This window comes from Homo sapiens, chromosome 19 (assembly GCF_000001405.40).
Source record: "Homo sapiens chromosome 19, GRCh38.p14 Primary Assembly".
Classification (NCBI taxonomy): domain Eukaryota; kingdom Metazoa; phylum Chordata; class Mammalia; order Primates; family Hominidae; genus Homo; species Homo sapiens.
In genome coordinates this window covers 6331369-6353571 of record NC_000019.10, presented here as the reverse complement: position 1 = coordinate 6353571, position 22203 = coordinate 6331369, and the positions used below count along the sequence as shown (strand labels likewise).

General features: G+C 47.6%; 1 protein-coding gene across 2 annotated transcripts in view; it reads left to right on the top strand.

Annotated features, from left to right (window-relative positions):
* Window positions 1-22203, top strand: part of ACER1 (alkaline ceramidase 1) — a 54227-nt gene that overhangs the window by 6797 nt on the left and 25227 nt on the right. Inside the window, exon 2 of one of the 2 annotated variants that reach the window (XM_011527673.3) lies at window positions 105-216. Coding sequence is in view for 1 of the 2 variants with exons in the window: in NM_133492.3 (NP_597999.1) it covers window positions 20021-20113 (93 nt within the window). In the remaining variant the exon portion in view is untranslated. Of the gene's footprint in view, window positions 1-104; window positions 217-19959; window positions 20114-22203 lie in introns of those variants that run through there. The other variant, NM_133492.3, reaches the window with a different exon arrangement.

The window sequence follows — 22203 nt, the reverse complement described above, 5'->3', positions numbered from 1 at the left end:
TTACAGGTGTGAGCCACCATGCCCAGCCAAGAACCACGACTTAAAGTGGATAGTGATCTGAAATAGAAGAAAAACAACTTTATTTATTTATTTTTATTTTGTAGAGGCAGAGTCTCACTATGCTGTCCAGGCTGGTTTCAAATTCCTGGAGTCAAGCAACCCTCTTACCTTGGCCTCCCAAAGCGCTGAGATGTCAACAGAGGGAAAGAGTTGAAGGTGAGTTTGTCTCCTTTTTTTTTTGAAGTAGAGTCTTGCCTTGTCACTCAGACTAGAGTACAGTGGTGTGAACATGGCTCACTGCAGCCTTGACCTCCTGGGTTCAAGCAATCCTCCCACCTTAGCTTGCCAAGCAGCTGAGACTATAGGCGCAAGCCACCACGCCCAGCTAATTTTTGTTTCTGTTTTTATAGAGACAGAATTTCTCTTATGTTGTCCAAGCTGGTGTTGAACTCATGGCCTCAAATGATCCTCACACCTGCCTCGGCCTCTTGGTGCTGGGATTACAGATGTGAGCCACCACACCAGGACTCCATAAATATTTAATGTGTTGTTTTCATTCCTCCAAACCTTGCTCAGTAAGTTCTGAATGAATGAGTATTTTGGCTCTTGGCTCCAAATCAACCTGCCCTACTGGTTTTTGGTTATCACTCCATGATCAGAGAGAAGCTGTCATCACTGTTACCTTCTCTGGAATGAATGCAAATGGGCCTATTGAAATGATAGAAATTGAAAATTAGGAAAAGAAAAGGAAACTCTCAGTGCTGAAGAGGCTGTGGATGAAATGCTGGATGCACCAATGAATGGCTCATGGACATTGCTACAGCTTCTCTGGGAACAAAGTTGACACCAAATTTCAAATTCACAGAACCCACTTCCAGTTATTTGTTTTTAGGAAATGATCAAAGGTGTGCACCTGTGCACTAAGATTTGACCCCAAAGTAGCTTATGGCAGAGTTGTTCATACACCTGTGTTTCAGTTAGTTAGTGCTGTGTAACAAACCGCCCCTAAACTTAGGAGTTTGAAACAACCACAGCTTATCATTTCTCATAATTTGAGAATCTGCACTGGGCTCAGCTAGGATTTTCTGGGGCTGGAATATCCACAAGTGGAACATTCTCCACTCACATATCTGGAGCCCCAGTGAGTCATCTCTCTCTCCACATGGCTGTTTGGGCTCCCTCATGGTATGGTGGTCTTTATTCCCCATATGGCAACTGACTTCAGAGAGAGTTAGCAAAAGCTACTTGTCTTCTTAAATGCTTGGCTTGGAAGTCACATGGTAGCTCTTCTGCCACATTCCATTGGTCAGAGCAAGTCACATAGCCCAACCCAAATTCAAGGGGAAGAGGAGATGAAATAGACTCGGCGGAGGAGTGGCAGGGGCATAACAGGATGGAAAGTGATGGCGGCTGTCTCTGGAGATAGTCTCTCATGGCCACGTTAGCAAAGAATTGCAAATAAATGCCTTGTAAGAGGGGACTACTTAAATGGCTTGAATTTTTTTTTTTTTTTTTTGAGATGGAGTCTTGCCCTGTCGCCCAGGCTGGAGTGCAGTGGTGTGATCTCGGCTCACTGCAAGCTCCGCCACCCAGGTTCACGCCATTCTCCTGCCTCAGCCTCCCGAGTAGCTGGGACGACAGGCGCCCACCACCAAGCCCGGCTAATTTTTGGTATGTTTAGTACAGATGGGGTTTCACCGTGTTAGCCAGGATGGTCTTGATCTCCTGGCGTTGTGATCCACCCGCCTCGGCCTCCCAAAGTGCTGGGATTACAGGCATGAGCCACCACACCCGGCCTAAGGGTTTAAATTTTAAAATTATTTTATTATTTAATTTTTGGAGACAGCATCTCACTCTGTCACCCAGGCTGGAGTGCAGTAGCGCAATCACAGCTCACTGCAGTCTTGACCTCCCAGGCTCAAGCGATCTTCCTGCGTCAGCCTCCTGAGTAGCTGGGACCACATGTGCATACAATACACCTGGCTAATTTCTTTTTTTTTTTTGGTAAGGGCCGGGTCTTGCTATGTTGTCCAGGCAGAACTCAAACTCCTGATCTCAAACGATCCTCCTGCCTCAGCCTCTCAAAGTGCTGGGATTACAGGCATGAGCCACCACGCCTGGCCAAATTTTAAGCCAAATTATCAAGTATCCATATTATGGATTGTAACTCTTATTTATTTATTATTATTATTATTTTTATTTTTTGAGACGGAGTTTCACTCTTTTTGCCCAGGCTGGAATGCAATGGCGCAATCTCGGCTCACTGCAACCCCCACCTCCCAGGTTCAAGTGATTCTCCTGCCTCAGACTCCTGCGTAGCTGGGACAACAGGTGCCCGCCACCAGGCCCGGCTAATTTTTTGTATTTTTAGTAGAGACGGGGCTTCATCATGTTGGCCAGGATGGTCTCGATCTCTTGACCTCGTGATCCGCCCGCCTCAGCCTCCCAAAGTGCTGAGATTACAGGCGTGAGCCACCACACCCGGCCTATAACTCATATTTATTGAGTGCCTTCACTGGTTTAATTATATAGTTAGGTATGACTGTGAGGGAGAGAAATACCAATGACTGACAAGATAGACATGACTTTCTCTCCCAGTCACAGTCTGGAGGTTGGCATCCAGAGTTGGTAGGGTGATTCTGACACACAAATTCTCTATTGGCTCAGATCTGCTCACATGGCCACACCTGGCTGCCGAGGAGCCAGGAAATTTGTTTATTTATTCCATTGATATTTACTGAGCATTTACTATGTACACAGCATTGGGGTACAGCTCCTGTTGTTTTTGTTCCTATAAAAGAAAGCAAACAAATGCAAAGAAAACAGAGAACAACCCCCGCTTTCATGGAGTGTTCCTTCTGCAGCACCCACATCCTCTTTTTTCTTCTCCTTCCTTCCTTCCTTCCATCCTTCCCTCCCTGCCTCCCTCCCTCTCTCCCTCCCTCCTTCCCTCCCTCCCTCCCTCCTTCCTTCCTTTCTTTTCTCTTCTTTCTTTTTTCTTGAGACGGAGTCTTGCTCTGTCACCCAGGCTGGAGTGCAGCGGCACGATCTCGGCTCACTGCAACCTCCGCCTCCCAGGTTCAAGTGATTCTCCTGCCTCAGCCTCCCGAGTACCTGGGATTACAGGCATGCGCCACCATGCCCAGCTAATTTTTTTTAATTTTATTATTATTATACTTTAAGTTTTAGGGTACATGTGCACAACGTGCAGGTTTGTTACATATGTATACATGTGCCATGTTGGTGCCAGCTAATTTTTTATATTTTTAGTTGAGACGGGGTTTCACCATGTTGGCCAGGATGGTCTCGATCTCTTGACCTTGTGATCCACCTGCCTCAGCCTCCCAAAGTGCTGGGATTACAGGCATGAGCCACCACGCCCGGACCCTTCCCTCCCCTCCCCTCTCCTTCCCTTCCCTTCTTTCCTTTTTCTTTTGACACAGGGCAGGGTCTCACTTTGTCACCCAGGCTGGAGTGCGGTAGTGCAGTCATGGCTCACTGCAGCCTCAAACTCCTGGACTCAAGCGATCCTCCTGCCTTAGCCTCCAGAATAGCTGGGACCACAGGCATGCACCACCGCACTGGGCTACTTTTTGTATTTTTGGTAGAGACGAGGTCTTGCTATGTTGCCTGAGCTGGTCTTGAACTCCTGGGGTCAAGTGATTGTTCCATCTCGGCTTCCCAAAGTATTGGGATTACAGGCGCCAACCACCATGCCCAGCCCCCAGATCCCCTTTTAAGAAGGGACTTACTGCCCAGCCAAGGGATGTATGGTGAGCAGAAACCTCCAGCTTCCATGTTTAGGATCACCTTCAGGTGCAGAGAGCCACCTCCCTCAGAGTCTCATCTGTCCCAGGGCAGCCCACAGCCAGTGACTGGGTGAGGCAGAGGAATAAAGGCCTGGGTATTCTGACTTCATGTGGGATGCTCTGATGGGGCTCACTGGCTCCAGAGTCCCTCGCCGATTAGCCAAGGCTTTGTCCATGCTCAATACCACTTTAACTTCTCCCTTTGCCCAGTTCTGTCTGCCCTTCCTCCCTCCCTTCCTTTCCTTCCTTCCTTCTTTCCTTCCTTCCTTCCTTCCCTCCCTCCTTCCTTCCTTCTTTCCTTCCTTCCTTCCTTCTTTCCTCCCTTCCTTCTTTCCTTCCTTCCTTCTTTCCTTCCTTCTCTCCCTCCCTCCCTCCTTCCTTCCCTCCCTCCTTCTGTCCCTCCCTCTTTTCCTTTCTTCTTTCTCTCTCTCTCTTTCTTTCTTTTATTTTGTAGAGATGGGGGCTCCCTATGTTGCCCAGGCTGATCTCAAACTCTAGGCTCAAGCCATCCACCTGCCTCTGCTTCTCAAAGCGCTGGGATTACAGACATGAGCCACCAAGCCTAGCTCTCCTCCTCCTCCTCCTCCTTCTTCTTCTTCTTCCTTCTTCCTTCTTTCTTTCTTCTTCTTCTTCCTCTTCCTCCTCCTCCTCCTCTTCTTCCTCTTCTTCTTTCTTCCTCCTCCTCCTTCTTCTTCTCCTTCTTCTTCTTGATGGAGTCTCGCTCTGTTGCCCAGGCTGGAGTGCAGTGGTGCTATCTCAGCTCACTGCAACCCGCGCCTCCTGGGTTCAAGCAATTTTTCTGCCTCAGCCTCTGGAGTAGCTGGGACTACAGGCACCCGCCACCATACCCAGCTAATTTTTGTATTTTTAGTAGAGACAGGTTTTCACCATATTGGCCAGGCTAGTCTCAAACTCCTGATCTCATGATCCACCCGCCTCGGCCTCCCAAAGTGCTGGGATTACAGGCTTGAGCCACCATGCCCAGCCTGCCGTGCTTCTTTCTTTGACAACTGTGAATTCCCAATAAAAATCTCACACCCCAAATTATTTCTCAGGATCTGTTCTGGAGAATCCAAATGGTGACTCAGAGCTTTTGTCATCTTTTTTTTTAATGCCTGTGGAGCATTCCATGTCGATATCAAAACCCATAATTTAGTTAACTAGTCTCCTGTAAATGGATGTTTTCTTTGTGACGAAAGATTTTTTCCCTCTCATCAGATTGGTCCTTTAAGAGACCCTTCTGTCTTAGAGAGCCCCAGGGCTCAGTCTTTAATCTTCTTTTTTTTTTTTTTTTTTTCCAGATGGAGTCTCACTCTACCACCCAGGCTGGAGTGCAGTCGTGAGATCTTGGCTCACTGCAACCTCCACTTCCCGGGTTCAAGCAATTCTCCTGTCTCAGCCTCCAGAGTAGCTGAGATTACAGGCGCGTGCCACCACACCCAGCTAATTTTTGTATTTTTAGTAGAGACAGGGTTTCACCATGTTGGCCAGGCTGGTCTCAAACTCCTGACCTTAGGTGATCCACCCGCCTCGGCCTCCCAAAGTGCTGGGATTACAGATGTGAGCCATTGCACCCAGCCTGTTCTTCTTTATCCACGACCCCTCAGAAATGTCATCCAGCTGCATGGCTTTAAATACGTGTGTAGGTACCTGGATGCCTCCCAGCTTTGTCTTACCCACCTAGATGTCTCACTCCTCAAAATTAACACTTCTAGTCAGGCACTGTGGCTCAAGCCTGCAATCCCAGCACGTTGGGAGGCCAGGCTGGTCTCAAACTCCCAACCTCAGGTGATCCGCCCCCCACCTTGGCCTCCCAACGTGCTGGGATTACAGGCATGAGCCACTGTGCCTAGCCATTTTCCCTTTTTATAAGGACACTAGTCATGGAGGACAAGGACCTGCCCTAATAACTTATTTGTTGTTGTTGTTGTTTAGATTTGCTCTTCTTTTCCGGGCTGGAGTGCAATGGCATGATCTGGACTCACTGCAGCCTCCACCTCCTGGGTTCAAGCGATTCTCCTGCCTCAGCCTCCCGAGTAGCCGGAATTACAGGCACCTGCCACCACGCCCGGCTAATTTTTGTATTTTTAGTAGAGACAGGCTTTTGCCATGTTGGTCAGGCTGGTCTTGAACTCCTGACGCCAGGTAATCCACCCACTTCGGCCTCCCAAAGTGCTGGGATAACAGGCGTGAACCACCACGCCCGGCCATCATTTTAACTCCATTACCTTTCTAAAGACCCTGTTTCCACACAGTGGCTCGTACCTATAATCCCAGCACTTTGGGAGGCCATGGTGGGCAGATCACCTAAGCCCAAGAGTTCAAGGCCAGCTTGGGTAACATGGCGAAACCTCATCTCTACAAAAAATTCAGAAACATTAGCTGAGTGTGGTGGTGCACACCTGTCGTCACCACTAACGAGGCTGAGGTGGGAGGATGGCTTGAACCCAGGAGGTTGAGGCTGCAGTGAGCTATGATTGCACCACTGTACTCCAGTCTGGATGACAAAGTGAGATTCTGTCTCAAAAAAAAAAAAAAGAAAAAGAAAAGAAAAGAAAAAGAGACTATTTCCAAGCAAGGTCACATTCTGAGGGACGAGGGGGTCTGTAACTTATCTTTTATTATTATTTTATATATATATATATATATATATTTTTTTTTTTTGTAGAGACAGGGACTCGTGGTGTTGGCCAGGGTGGTCTCAAACTCCTGACCTCAAGCGATACTCCCTCCTTGGCCTCCCAAAGTGCGGAGATTATAGATGTGAGTCACCATGCCCTGTCTGCAACACATCTTTTTAGAGAATACAATTCAAGCCATAACAGTAAGATCCCTCTTTATCTTTCCTTTTTTCCCTCCTCGGTCTCAGCCTTCAAGAAGGAAGGAAAGAAGGGGGTGGGCAGAGAACCTCCTCCCCGCTGGACCAGAGTAATCTCCGCTGTGATGTTGAAGAAAATACATCTGAGTTCTGAGCTAGATGGACAGATTTTAAACCTTTGAACCTTAGAATGGACTGATGGAAAACAGCGGCTGGGGGTGGTGGCTGACCACCAGATGTAGATGGCTGGTGGACAGCCATCTAGAAGCCAAGGAGAGAGGCCCCAGGATTATCCTAGCATTTTGGGAGGCCAAGGTGTGATGATTGCTCCAGCCAGGAGATTGAGGCTGCAGTGAGCTATGATTGCAGCACTGCACTCCAGCCTGGGTGACAGAGCAAGACCCTGTCTCAAAAAAAAAAAAAAAGAAAAGAAAAAAAAGAAGAAGAAGAAGGAGAAGAAGAAGGAGGAGGAAGAGGAGGGGGAGGAGGAGGAGGAGGAGAAAAGAATGAGTGAAATAAAAGGTTAATAACCAATAACCTTAGAATACCCATTTGAGGTTATTGGATTTAGGTAGAGGAGGCAGTAGAAATGACATAATGCCACTTAATGAAAACTTTTCTCGAACTTTTTTTTGGAGGAAGGAATGAGACAGGCTCAGTTGAAGAGATACTTCCAGATTAGAGTCTCCAGATTTAGCACATAAAAATACAGGAGGCTCATTTAAATTTGAATTTCAGATACATGAAGAATAATTTTTAGGATAATCCGATCATATGCAATATTTGGAACATATTTATGCCAAAAACTTATCCATCGTTAATCTGAAATTCTGATTTAACTGGGTGTCCTGTATTTTATCTGGCAACCCTTCTTCTAGTAAGTCATGGAATTAACCCACCTTGGAAGATGATGTGATGGTCAGGCACAGTGGCTCACGCCTGGAATCCCAGCAGCTTGGGAGGCTGAGGTGGGAGGATCACTTGAGCCTGGGTGTTTGAAAGCAGCCTGGGCAATATAGGGAGACCCCATTTCCAATAATAATAATTATTATTATTATTATAATAAAATTAGCTGGATGATGCCAGGCATGGTGGCTCATGCCTGTCATCCCAGCACTTTGGGAGGCCAAGGCAGGTGGATCATCTGAGGTCAGGAGTTGGAGACCAGTCTGGGCAACATGGTAAAACCCTGTCTTTACAAAAAATACAAAAATTAGCTGGGCATGGTCGTGCGCGCCTGTAATCCCAGCGACTCAGGAGGCTGAGGCAAGAGAATCGCTTGAACCCAGGAGGCCGAGATTTCAGTGAGCTGAGATCGTACCACTGCACTCCAGCCTGGGTGACAGAGTGAGACTCCATTTGAAAAAAAAAAAAAAAAAGAATCTAATACCTGATGATCTGTCACTGTCTCCCATCACCCCCAGCTGGGACAGTCTAGTTTCAGGAAAACAAGGGGAGGGCTTTCCCTGATTCTACATTATGTGAGCTGTATAATTAGTTCATTATATATTACAGTGTAATACTAATAGAAATAGTGAACAATAAATGTAATGTGCTTGAATCATCCTGAAACCATTCCACACCTCCGTGATAAAATTGTCTTGCACAAAACTGGTCCTGGGTGACAAAAAGCTTGCAGATTGCTGCATTATAGCATAAAAGTAGCCATAGACAACTTACAAACAAATGGGTGTGACCGTGTGCCAATAAAAATTTATCCACATAACTTCATTTACAAACAACACACGGAGGCCGGGCACGGTGGCTCACGCCTGTAATCCCAGCACTTTGGGTGGCAGAGGCCAGTGGATCACCTGAGGTCAGGAGTTTGAGACCAGCCTTGACCAGCCAGGAGATCAAGACCATCCTGGCCAACGTGGTGAAACCCCGTCTCTACTAAAAATACAAAAAATTAGCCAGGTGTGGTGGCGGGCACCTGTAGTCCCAGATACTTGGAAGGCTGAGGCAGGAGAATGGTGTGAACCCGGGAGGCGGAGGTTGCAGTGAGCCGAGATCGTGCCACTGCACTCCAGCCTGGATGACAGAACGAGACTCCATCTCAAAAAAATAAACAAATAAATAAATAAAATAAAATAAAATAAAATAAAATAAATTGATTGTTGTGAAATATATCTTCACAAGAGGATATATAACATACATATATGGTTTAAAGAAAAAAACAACAAAATAATCCAACAATTGTGCCCCCTTGTATTTACCTAGATGCATTGAAAACTTATACCCACACAGGCCAGGTGCGGTGGCTCACGCTTGTAATCCCAGCACTTTAGGAGGCTGAGGCAGGCGGATCACTTGAGGTCAGGAGTTCAGGACCAGCCTGGCCAACATGGTGAAACCTTGTCTCTACTAAAAATACAATAAATTAGCCAGGTATGGTTGTGGGTGCCTGTAGTCCGAGCTACTAGGGAGGCTGAGGCAGGAGAATCCACTATTTACTTAACGAGTCTTTATTTAATAAATAAATAAATTTATTTATTTATTGAGATGGAGTTTTGCTCTTGTTGCCCAAGATGGAGTGCAATGGCACAATCTTGGCTCACTGCAACCTCTGCCTCCTGGGTTCAAGCGCTTCTCATGCCTCAGCCTCCTGAGTAGCTGGAATTAAAGGTGCCCCACCATGCCTGGCTAATATATATATATTTATATATATATTTTTAGACGGAGTCTCGCTCTGTCGCCCAGGCTGGAGTGCAGTGGCGCAATCTCGGCTCACTGCAAGCTCCACCTCCTGGGTTCGGGCCATTCTCCTGCCTCAGCCTCCCGTCGCCTGGCTAATATTTTGTATTTTTAGTAGAGACAGGGTTTTACTATGTTGACTAGGCTGGTCTCGAACTCCTGACATCAGGTGATCCACCTGTCTTGAGCTCCTGGGATTACAGGCATGAGCTGCCATGCCCGGCCTACTTATCAAGTCTTTAACTCAGGGATGTTTGTGAATAGTTCCATGGTTTTGCTATTGCAGGCAGGGCTGCTCTGAATAATCTTGTACCAGAATCCTGGGTCCATTTGTGGGAGTTTCTCAGGGGGACATAAATCCAGGAGATGAGTTGCTGGTTGTAGGACATGTTCATTTGCACCTTTACTGAATGTGATGGAGGCAGCCTGTTGTGGTTTAAAGATTCAGGCTCCCTTCCCACAGGGTAAAGTGGATACCAGGAAGTGGCTGCTGTGCTACAGATTACATTTCCCAGCAACCCTTTCATCTAGTGGAGGTCATGTGACTAGTTCTGACCAATAGAGGTACACCAAAGCCATGTTGGGATTGAGAGCCACAAGTTGGGAGGAAGCCCACATTTTGTTAGTGGAGGCCACATGTTGAGGTGGGGGCCACATGATGGGTATGGAGGCCACATGTTGGGAGCAAAGGGCACATTTTGGGATTTAGAGCCACAAGTTGGGAGGAAGCCCACATTTTGTGAGTGGAGGCCCCACGTTGAGATGGATGCCACTTGATGGGTATGGAGGCCACATGTTGAAAGTGGAGGCCACATATTGGGAGTGGAGGCCACATGTTGAGATGGAGGTCACGTGTTGGGATGGAGGCCACATGCTGGGATGGAGGCATCATGAGAAGGAAGGAAGGGGCCTGGATTGCTAAATTCCCACTTGCCTGAGCCTTCTGGGACAGCTTCACCCTCCATACTCTTTGCTTATGTGAGATGTAAACTTTTAGGACACTGATATTTGTGGAATTGTCTTGTTCTAACAGTTGAACTACTGTACCCAGTAATGCTTCAGGTAATGTCAAATTATTTTCCAAAGTGGTTGGCCTCTTCATATTTCCACCACTCCCCCACTTCCCATCCTCACCAGTACTCGGAATCGGCAAGTTAAAGAAAAAACTTTTGGCTGGGTGCGGTGACTCACGCCTGTAATCCCAGCACTTTGGGAGGCCAAGGTGGGCGGATCACCTGAGGTCGGGAGTTCGAGACCAGCCTGACCAACATGGAGAAACCCTGTCTCTACTAAAGATACAAAATTAGCCGGGCACAGTGGCGGGTGCCTGTAATCCCAGCTATTCGGGAGGATGAGGCAGGAGAATCACTTGATCTCGGGAGGTGGAGGTTGCAGTGAGCCGAGATCATGCCATTGGACTCCAGCCTGGGCAACAAGAGCAAAACTCCGTCTCAAAACAAACAAACCCACAACTTTTTATCTTGAAATAGTTTGTTTTTATTTTATTGTATTTATTTATTTATTTTTTTGAGATTGAGTCTTGCTCTGTTGCTCAGACTGGAGTGCAGTGGCACGATCTTGGCTCACTGCAAGCTCCACCTCCTGGGTTCACGCCATTCTCCTGCCTCAGCCTCCTGAGTAACTGGGACTACAGGCGCCCGCCACCACGCCTGGCTAATTTTTTGTATTTTTAGTAGAGACGGGGTTTCACCATGTTAGCCAGGATGGTCTCAATCTCCTGACCTCGTGATCCGCCCGCCTCAGCCTCCCAAAGTGCTGGGATTACAGGTGTGAGCCACCACTCCCGGTCTGAAATAGTTTGTTTTTAAAATGGATTATTATTATTTTTTTTTAGAGACACAGTCTGCCTATGTTGCCCAGGCTGGTCTCGAACTCAAACAGAAATTGCAGTGAGCCAAGATCAAGCCACTGCACTCCAGCCTGGGCAACAGAGTGAAACTCCATCTTAAAAAAAAAAAAAAAAAAAAAGAACTAGGATACTCTCTTACACAACCAGAATTCATTTATCTACTTCAGAAAATAAATATGGACACAATACTATTATCTACTTTATATTCCATGTGCAAATTTCACCAATTACCCAATAATGTCCTTTGTGACTTTGGGCATTGTTAGACTAAAATTTTCCCCATCTGTACGGTAACCATTATTGACTTAAACACTGTCTTTAAACAAGTTCATTTTCCAAAAACACTTTCCAAATATTAATGCATATCTTTACTTCAAAAGGAAATTTTATATTGCTCCACTACATGGAAAGCTACTAAATAAATAGAAAGCAAGTATTAAAACCAACACTGCTGGGTGCAGTGGCTCACGCCTGTAATCCTAGCACTTTGGGAGGCCAAGGCAGGCAGATTATGAGGTCAGGAGTTCAAGACCAGCCTGGCCAACCTGGTGAAACCCGCGTCTCTACTAAAAATAAAAAAAATTAGCCGGGCATGGTGGCGGGTGCCTGTAATCCCAGCTATTTGGGAGGCTGGGGTAGGAGAATCGCTTGAACCCAGTAGTCAGAGGTTGTGGTGAGTGGAGGCTGCTGCACCATTGTACTCCAGCCTAGGTGACAGAGCAAGACTCCATCTCAAAACAAAAAGAAAAACAAAACAAAACAAAACAAAAGAAAACAAAAAAAAGCCCAATGCTAAGATGGGTATAGTTCCTTTTTTCTTTTTCTTTTTCTTTTTTTTTCTTTTTTTTTTTTTTGAGACAAGGTCTTGCTCTGTGGCCCAGGTTGGAGTGCAGTGGTGCACACATAGCTCACTGCAACTTCGACCTTTAGGCTCAAGCAATCTTCCCATCTCAGCTTCCTGAGAAGTTAAGACCACACGTGTGTACCCCCACTGGCTAACTTTTTAATGTTTTGTAGAAACAGGGTCCCCTATGTTGCCTAGACTGGTTTTTTGTTGTTGTTTTTTTTGAGATGGAGTCTCGCTCTGTTGCCCAGGCTGGTTTGCAGTGGCGAAATCTTGGCTCACTGCAACCTCCACCTCCTGGGTTCAAGCGATTCTCCTGCCACAAGAATTGCTTGAACCCTGGAGGTGGAGGTTACAGTGAGCCGAGATCGCGCCAGTGCACTCCAGCCTGGGCAACAGAGCAAGACTCCGTCTCAAAAGAAAAGAACAAAGTCAGAGAGAGACTGGAAGAGGCTGCACTGTGGCTGTGAAGGTGGAGAACAGGACATGGGTTGCCTCTAGACACTGGACGGGGCAGGAAACGAGGTCTCTCCTGGAGCCTCCACCAGGAACACAGCTGTGATGACACCTTTAGCCTATAAGACTCATTTCAGAGTCCTGACCTGTAGAAAGGTAAGATGATAAGTGTGTGCTGTTCTAAGCCATTACATTGGTGGCATTTGTTACAATAACCGCTGAGAGCTCACACGCCTCTGTTTGTCACCCTCTCTCTAGCCCCTTCTCTCCCCCTAGCGGGGGAAGAGCTCTCCCCCGGCTCCCACCCACCTTCCTGGCTGCTCTGTCCTCCCTAGTCAGCACCATGATCACTCAAGTTCTCCGGTCTGGGCTGGGCGTGGGTGCCAGTCACTACCTTACTGCCTGCTATTAAACCCTCGCCAAGATTCAGGATCTCAGCAGCTGGGTCCTGTTCCAGCTATGAGCAGAAAGGGGCCTCAGAGACCATCTGCTCCACCCACACACAGAGCAGAGACTGTTTCAAAATTACTCCATGGGGAAGGAGTCAGGGTCGCTACTGGGGAGCTGGGGTGGCAGTGGTGGTGTCTGTTTGCCCTCCTGGTCCACCTGGGAAGCGGATTTGGGGGCTAGGGCTGTAGCTAAATGGTGTATGTTTGTGGAGGGGTGCTATACAGAGTCAGGTCAAGCTTTAGTTCTGTTTTTCTTCCTTCCTTCCTTCCTTCCTTCCTTCCTTCCTTCCTTCCTTCCTTCCTTCCTTCCTTCCTTCCTTCCTTCCTTCCTTCCTTCTTTCTTTTTTTGGAGACAGAGTCTTGCTCTATGCCCAGGCTGGAGTGTAGTGGCGCGATCTTGGCTGACTACAACCTCCACCTCCCAGGCTCAAGTGATTCTCGTACCTCAGCCTCCCGAGTAGCTGGGATTACAGGCACGCACCACCACGCCTGGCTAATTTTATTTTTTTTATTTTTAGTAGAGACGGTGTCTCACCATGTTGGCCAGGCTGGTCTTGAACCCTGACCTCAAGTGATCCACCTGCCTCAGTCTCCCAAAATGCTGGGATTACATGTGTGAGCCACCACGCCCAGCCCCAAACCCCTCTTTTAAAAACCTAAATCAGGCCAGGCGTGGTGGCTCACGCCTGTAATCCCAGCACTTTAGGAGGCTGAGGCGGGCGGATCATGAGGTCAGGAGATCAAGACCATCCTGGCTAACACGGTGAAACCCCGTCTCTACTAAAAATACAAAAAAAACTTAGCCGGGTGTGGTGGCGGGCGCCTGTAGTCCCATCGGGAGGCTGAGGCAGGAGAATGGCGTGAACCCGGGAGGCGGAGCTTGCAGTGAGCCGAGATCGCACCACTGCACTCCAGCCTGGGCAACAGAGAGAGACTCCATCTCAAAAAACAAAAAACAAAAACAAAAACCCTAAATCATTACTTTGTAAAATTGTGGTAAAAGATACATAACACGAAACTGATCATTTTAATCATCAAATGCATAGTTCAGCGGCATTAAGCACATTCGCATGTCTATGCAGCCATCACCACCATCCCCTCCAGAACTTTCTCATCTTTCCAAACTGAAACTCTGTCCCCAAGAAACACTCACTCCCTATCCCCCTCCCCAGCCCCTCATACCCCCCGTTCTACTTCCTGTCTCTGTGACTCTGAGGACTTTGGGGACCTCCTAGGAGTGGGATCACACAGGATTTGTCCTTTTATGTCTGGCTTATTTCACCCAGCTTGATGTCCTCAAAGTCCATCCACGTTGTTGCCTGTATCAGAATTTCCTTCCTTTTTCAGGGCTGAATAATATTCCACGGTATGGATGAACCACACACATTGTGTTTATCCATTCATGTATTAATTAAAAATCTAAATCAATCCCTTTATAAAAAGAGATTTTTAGGCTGGGTGCGGTGGCTCATGCCTGTAATCTCAGCACTTTGGGAGGCTGAGGCAGGCGGATCACCTGAGGTCAGGAGTTCCAAACCAGCCTGGCTAACATGCTGAAACCCCATCTCTACTAAAAATGTAAAAATTAGCCCGACGTGGTGGTGGGCGCCTGTAATCCCAGCTATCGGGAGGCTGAAGCAGGAGAATCATTTGAACCCAGGAGGCGGAGGTTGCAGTGAGCCGAGATTGCACCATTGCACTCTAGCCTGGATGACAGGAAGAGACTCGGTCTTAAAAAAAAAAAAAGATTTTAAGGCCAGGTGCGGTGGCTCACACATGTAATTCTAGCACTTTGGGAGGCTGAGGTGGAAGGATCGCTTGAGCTCGGGAATTAGAGAGCAGTCTGGGAGACATAGTGAGAACCTGTCTCTACAAAAAATAGAAAAAATTTGCCTGGCCTGTAGTCCCAGCTACTTGGGAGGCTAAGGTGTGAGGATCACTTGAGCCCAGGAGGTTGAGGCTGCAGTGGCCTGTGATTGCACCACTGCACTCAAGCCTGGCAGCAGAGTGAGACCCTCTATCAAACACATTAAAAAAAATGGAATAATTATAAACTTGCAGGAACCTGCAATAATAATATAGAAGAATCCCAGGTAATCTTCATCCAGTTTCTCCCAGTGGTACCTCTTTTATAACTATACATTTTCACAACCAGAAAGGTGATATAAATATGACCTATAGACCATATTCAGATTTCAACAGCTTTTCCCATGCATTCATGTGTTAGACAATTTTCTTTTCATTTTCTCAGAAAAATGGGAGCAAATCTATGCAATAATATCACATGTATAGATCTGTGCAAACACAACCACAATTGTAACACTTACATTTATTTTGGCCAGGGCACAGTAGCTCATACCTGTACTCCCAGCAACTTGGGAGGCGAAGGTGAGAAGATTGCTTGAGCCCAGGAAATTGACATTGCTGTGAGCTAGGATTTTACCACTGCCCTCCAGCCTAGGAAACGGAGCAAGACTCCATCTCTTAAAAAATACATATTTATTTTATTATTTTATTTTTATTTTATTTAATTAACTATTTTTTTTTGAGACAGGGTTTCCCTCTTTTTGCCCAGGTTAGAGTGCAGCGGTGGAATTAGAGGTGTAAGCCACTGCACTGGGCCAAAATATTATTTTAAAAAGAAAATTCTGGGGCTGGGCGCGGTGGCTCACGCCTGTAGTCCCAGCACTTTGGGAGGCCGAGGTGGGTGGATCACGAGGTCGGGAGATCGAGACCATCCTGGCTAACATGGTGAAACCCTGTCCCTACTAAAAATACAAAAAAATTAGCCAGGCGTTGGTGGTGGGTGCCTGCAGTCCCAGCTACTCGGGAGGCTGAGGCAGGAGAATGGCATGAACCCAGGAGGCGGAGCTTGCAGTGAGCCAAGATCGAGCCACTGCACTCCAGCCTGGGCGACAGAGCAAGACTCCATCTCAAAAAAAAAAAAAAAAAAAAAAAAAAAAAAAAGAAAGAAAGAAAGAAAAGAAAAGAAAAAGAAAAAGAAAACTTTGGCCAGGCAGGGTGGTCCACGCCTGTAATCCCAGCTACTCAGAAGGCTCAGGCAAGAGAATCGTTTGAACCTGGGAGGTGGAGGTTGCAGTGAGCCGAGATCATGCCATTGCACTCCAGCCTGGGGGACAGAGCAAACGCCATCTCAAAAAAAAAAAGAAAAAAAAAGGAAACTTTGTAACCCTACCGTGAATGGAAAGTAGATTTGGCTTACCATGAATACAAGCTTATCAAAAAATAAATACAATGTAAACAAATCATGTTACTAAATTCTAACAGAATATTGTTGCCTAATGAAGGGCTTTTCTTTTCTTTTTTGTCAAAGTCATTAAGTGTTAAGAGACATAGAACATATTAGCACTGACTGAGCCTCTCTTCTCCAAATATTGGAAATTGAAAAAGTTGATTACTTTCAGACACCACAGTGATTTTTTTTTTTTTTTTGAGAGGGAGTCTCACCCTGTCGCCCAGGCTGGAGTGCAGTGGTGCAATCTCGGCTCACTGCAACCTCCGTTTTCTGGGTTCAAGCTATTCTCCTGCCTCAGTCTCCTGAGTAGCTGAGATTACAGGCGCGTGCCACCACACCAGGCTAATTTTTGTATTTTTAGTAGAGACGGGGTTTCACCATTTTGGCCAGGCTAGTCTTGAACTCCTGACCTCAAGTGCTCCACCTGCCTCAGCCTCCCAGAGTGCTGGGATTACAGGGGTGAGCCACCATGCCCGGCCAGTTCAGTGATTTGGAATGCAGGGCAACATAGCACCACAATTTATCTTTCTTTTTCTTTTTTTTTTTTTTTTTTGAGTCGGGGTCTCGATCTGTCGCCCGGGCTGAAGTGCAGTGGCGTGATCTCGGCTCACTACTACCTCCACCTCCCAGGTTCAAGCGATTTTCCTGCCTCAGCCTCCCAAGTAGCTGGGACTACAGGCGCCCGCCACCATGCCTGGCTAGGTTTTTATATTTTTAGTAGAGACGGGGTTTCACCATGTTAACCAGGATGGTCTTGATCTCCTGACCTCGTGATCCGCCTGCCTTGGCTTCCTAAAGTGCTGGGATTACAGGCATGAGCCACCGTGCCCAGCCCACAATTTATCTTTTTATGGAAACATCGTGTCAGCTCACTAACTCTTCACAACAGGCTTGAGAGGGCAGTACCATTATCATTTTCACCACCTTACAGGTGAGGAAACTGAGGCATCATAGAGGTGGTGTTCCTTGCCTGTCTCTATCACTTCCTAACTGTGTGACCTATGGTAAGTTCCTTAACTTCTCTGGGCTTTAGTTTCCTTGCTAGTGATTACTAGCAGGAGATAGGATCGCATGAGCTCAGGAGATCAAGCAAGGCTGCATTGAACTATGATTGCGCCACTGCACTCCAGCTTGGGCAACAGAGCAAGACCCTGTCTCAAAAGAGAAAAAGAGGCCAGGCACAGTGGCTCAAGCCTGTAATCCCAGCACTTTGGGAAGCCGAGACAGGTGGATCACCAGAAGTCACGAGTTCGAGACTAGCCTGGCCAACATGGTGAAACCCCGTCTCTACTAAAAATACAAAAATTAGCCGGGCATGCTGGCGGGTGCCTGTAAATCCAGCTACTTGGGAGGCTGAGGCAGGGGAATCGCTGGAACCTGGGAGGCAGAGGTTGCAGTGAGCTGAGATCATGCCATTGCACTCCAGCCTGGGTGACAAGAGTGAAACTCTATTTCAAAAAAAAAAAGAAAAGAAAAAGAAAAAAAAGAAAAAGAAAAGGGATAACAATAGTTCCTGGCGCTTAGGATTTTTTCTTTTTTTTTTAGACAGAGTCTTTCTCTGTCACCCAGGCTGGAGTGCAGTGGTGCAATTTTGGCTCGCTGCAAGCTCCGTCTCCTGGGTTCATGCCATTCTCCTGCCTCAGCCTCCTGAGTAGCTGGGACTATGGGCACCCACCATCACGCCCAGCTACCTTTTTTGTATTTTTAGTAGAAATGGGGTTTCACTGTGTTAGCCAGGATGGTCTCAATCTCCTGACCTTGTGATCCTCCCGCCTTGGTCTCCCAAAGCACTAGGATTACAGGCGTGAGCCACAGCACCCGGGGTAGGATTGTTAAGAACATTAAATGAAGGCCGGGCACAGTGGCTCACGCCTGTAATCCCAGCACTTTGGGAAGTCGAGACGGGCAGATCACAAGGTCAGGAGTTTGAGGCCAGCCTGGTCAATATGGTGAAACCCCGTCTCTACTAAAAATACAAAAATTAGCTGGGCATGGTGGCAGGTGCCTGTAGTCCCAGTTACTCAGGAGGCTGAGGCAGGAGAATTGCTTGAACTAGGGAGGTGGAGGTTGCAGTGAGCCAAGATCATGCCACTGCACTCCAGCCTGGGAGACAGAGTGAGGCTCCATCTCAAAAAAAAAAAAAAAAAAGAACGTTAAATGAGATAATACTGAAAATCAAGCACTTAAAAAAAGAAAAATTATATAATATATAATATTAATTATTATATTAAATTATATTAATCACATTAAAATAATATACTAAAATATTTAAAATATTATATAACAATAGTATTTTTAATATAATAATTTTATATTTTAATATAATATTGCTATTATATAATAAATAATTATATTATTATTGTTATGCACACTTGCTAACCGCTTGCTAAGGCCAGGCTCTTTTATTATAATAATAATAATTATTATTATTCCCACAAAGTTGACTTAAAGTTCAAGGTCAGCTTCAGTAAGAAAACCCTGTAATCCCAGCACTTTGGGACAGAGCAAGACTCCATCTCAAAAAAAAAAAGAAAACCCATTACCATCCATCAAGTGCCTACTCTAGCATAGGCAGTGGGCTAAGCCTTTGTACATGCTTTATCTCTGTCTTCCTTTGTTACAGTTGGCTCTGTCACCATCGTCTCCATATGACAGGTGAGCAAACAGAGGATCAGAGAGGTAAATTCACTTGCCCAAGGTCACACAGCTTAAAGTAGAGGAACTCAGGCCAGGTGAGGTGGCTCATGCGTATAATCCCGGCACCTTGGGAGGCCAAGGTGGGCAGATCACCTGAGGTCAGGAGTTCGAGACCAGCTTGACCAACATGGTGAAATCCTATCTCTACTAAAATACAAAAAAAATTAGCTGGGCATGGTGGCAGGTGCCAGTCATCCCAGCTACTTGGGAGGCTGAGGTAGGAGAATCGCTTGAACCCAGGAGGTGGAGGTTGCAGTGAGCTGACATTGCGCCACTACACTCCAGCCTGGGTGACAGAGCCAGACTGCATCTCAATTTTAAAAAAAAAGGCCGGGCACGGTGGCTCACGCACACCTATAATCCCAGCACTTTGGGAGGCCAAGGCAGGTGGATCACGAGGTCAGGAGATCGAGACCATCCTGGCTAACACAGTGAAACTCCATCTCTATTAAAAATACAAAAAATTAGCCGGTCGTGGCGGTGGGCGCCTGTAGTCCCAGCTACTCGGGAGGCTGAGGCGGGAGAATGGCGTGAACACGGGAGGCAGAGCTTGCAGTGAGCTGAGATCATGCCACTGCACTCCAGCCTGGGCAACAGAGCGACTCTGTCTCCAAAAAAAAAAACAATTAGCTAGGCATGGTGGCAGCATGTGCCTGTGGTCCTGGCTACTTCAGAGGCTGAGGCAGGAGTATTGCTTGAGCCTGGGAGTTTGAGGCTGCGGTGAGCTATGATGATGCCACTGTACCCCAGCCTGAGCAACAGAGCAAGGCCCTGACTCTAATAAATAAATACATACATACATAAAAGATAAAAACAGTTCCCTCCACTGCCCCCACCCCGATTCCTATTCCTGGGTAATCTGGATGGGAGGCCTCTTCCCTGCCTACTTCTGCCCCCTGCCCTGCCTGGACAGTGCCAGTCCCACGGCTTATGCTCAGGGCTGCTGTCACTGCACAGCCAGGCTGCCCTGGTGCAACTGGGGAGCGGCCCAGCAGGTTTTTCCTCCCAGTCTGCCTGCCGCGGGGCACCGGGCTGTCCTCTCCCCGCCTCATCAGGGCCCAGCCTTCCCAAGCTCGCCTTCTCTCTGCCGGGCGCAGCCGGCTGGTGGTGGCCACTGAGACAAGATGCCTAGCATCTTCGCCTATCAGAGCTCCGAGGTGGACTGGTGTGAGAGCAACTTCCAGTACTCGGAGCTGGTGGCCGAGTTCTACAACACGGTGAGTGCGTGGGTGTGTGAAGGAGTCTCGCCAGATGCCGGTTCGAATCCCGGTTCCTCCCCATACAGCCTTACTGGGGAATCTTGCTGGAGTGGTTCACCTGTCTCAGCCCTAGTTTTCTCATCTGTTAGCCAAAGAGTGCCAGCTTTCATTCATTTACTTGTCTTTACTTGATGCCAAGCTCTGTGGTAGGTTTTGGAGACACATTGGTGGCCAGGAAAAGAACCGGTCTCTGCCTTCCCTAAGCTAACTCTGATGTGACTGCAGGCATTTGCAACCGGGAGCGATGGTGCCTTCTTGGAGGGCACAGAGGCAGCTGTGGTAGGGGGAGGCAGAGGGTGCCCCTGAGCTAGAGGGGGTGGGCCAATCAGGAAAGGCTTCCTGGAAGAGGTGATTGTGTCTGTCTTGTTTGCAGCTGTACCCACTGACCAACTTGTCCCAGTGTGCCTGGGACTATCCTGGTTTCAGTATTTAAAAAGTTTCACCTCTTGGCTGGGCGCGGTGGCTCACGTCTGTAATCCTAGCACTTTGGAAGGCCAAGGTGGGTGGATTGCCTGAGCTCAGGAGTTGGAGATCGCCCTGGGCAACGTGGTGAAAGCCCATCTCTACTAAAATAAAAAATTAGCTGGGTACGGTGTCAGGCATCTGTAGTCCAAGCTACTCAGGAGGCTACGGCATGAGAATCGCTTGAACCCAGGAGGCGGAGGTTGCAGTGAGCTGAGATTGTGCCACTGCACTCCAGCCTGGGTGAAAAAGCGAGACTGTCTCAAAAAAAGAAGAAAAAAAGTCCCACCTCCTGAGAAACTCCTCAGTTCTGGACATTCTGAGGTGGTCTTCTCTTTCCCTGTTAAAACACCACATGGGAAGTGCTAAAAAATCATGGATGTACCTAGCACCATGGCTCATGCCTGTAACCCCAGCAATTTGGAACGCAGAGGCAGGAAGATCGCTTGAGCCCAGGAGTTCCAGACCAGCCTGGGCAACATAGCAAGACCCTGTCTCTACAAAAAGTTTTTAAAAATTAGCTGGGTGTGGTGGTGTGTGCTTGTAGTTCCAGCTACTTGGGAGGCTGAGGGGGGAGGATTTCTTGAACCCAAGAAGTGGAGGATGCAGTGAGCTGAGGTCATACCACTGCACTCCAGCCTGGGTGACAGAGGGAGACCCTGTCTCAAAAAAAAAAAAAAAAAAAAAAGGCCGGGCGCGGAGGCTCACGCCTGTAATCACAGCACTTTGCGAGGCCAAGGTGAGTGGATCACCTGAGGTCAGGAGTTCGAGACCAGCCTGGCCAACATGGTGAAACCCCATCTCTACTAAAAATACAAAAATTAGCCAGGTTTGGTGGCAGGCACCTGTAATCCCAGCTGCTTGGGAGGCTGAGGCAAGAGAATGGCTTGAACCCAGGAGGCGGAGGTTTCAATGAGCCGAGATCGCACCATTGCACTCCAGCCTGAGGGACAAGAGCGAGACTTCGTCTCAAAAAAAAAAAAAAAAATAGGAATGCACAAATGATCACGGCATTTAGCCAAAGCTTAAAGCCAAAGATCAGTGCAGCTATGCCATGCCCATACTGGGTGCTGGGAACACAGAGGTGTTTGCCTGGAGCCCTGGGAATGATGGGATCCAGGCATAGTGCTTAGTTCTTTTGTTTGTTTGTTTGTTTGTTTTGAAACGGAGTCTCGCTTTGTCACCTAGGCTGGAATGTAATGGCGCGATCTCGGCTCACTGCAACCTCTGCCTCCCGCGTTCAAGCCATTCTGCTGCCTCAGCTTCCCGAGTAGTTGGGATAACAGGTTCCCACCACCACGCCTGGCTAATTTTTGTATTTTTAGTAGAGACAGGGTTTCACCATGTTGGCCAGGCTGGTCTTGAACTCCCGACCTCAGGTGATCCGCCCACCTCAGCCTCCCAAAGTGCTGGGATTACAGGCGTGAGCCACGGCGCCCGGCCTCGTAGTGCTTAGTTCTATGCCCTGCACATAGGCCTTGCTCAGTGAGCAGAAGAGTGCTTGCTGGCTGGGTGCTATGGCTCACGCCTGTAATCCCAGCACTTTGGGAGGCCGAGGGGGGTGGATCATGAGGTCAAGAGGTCAA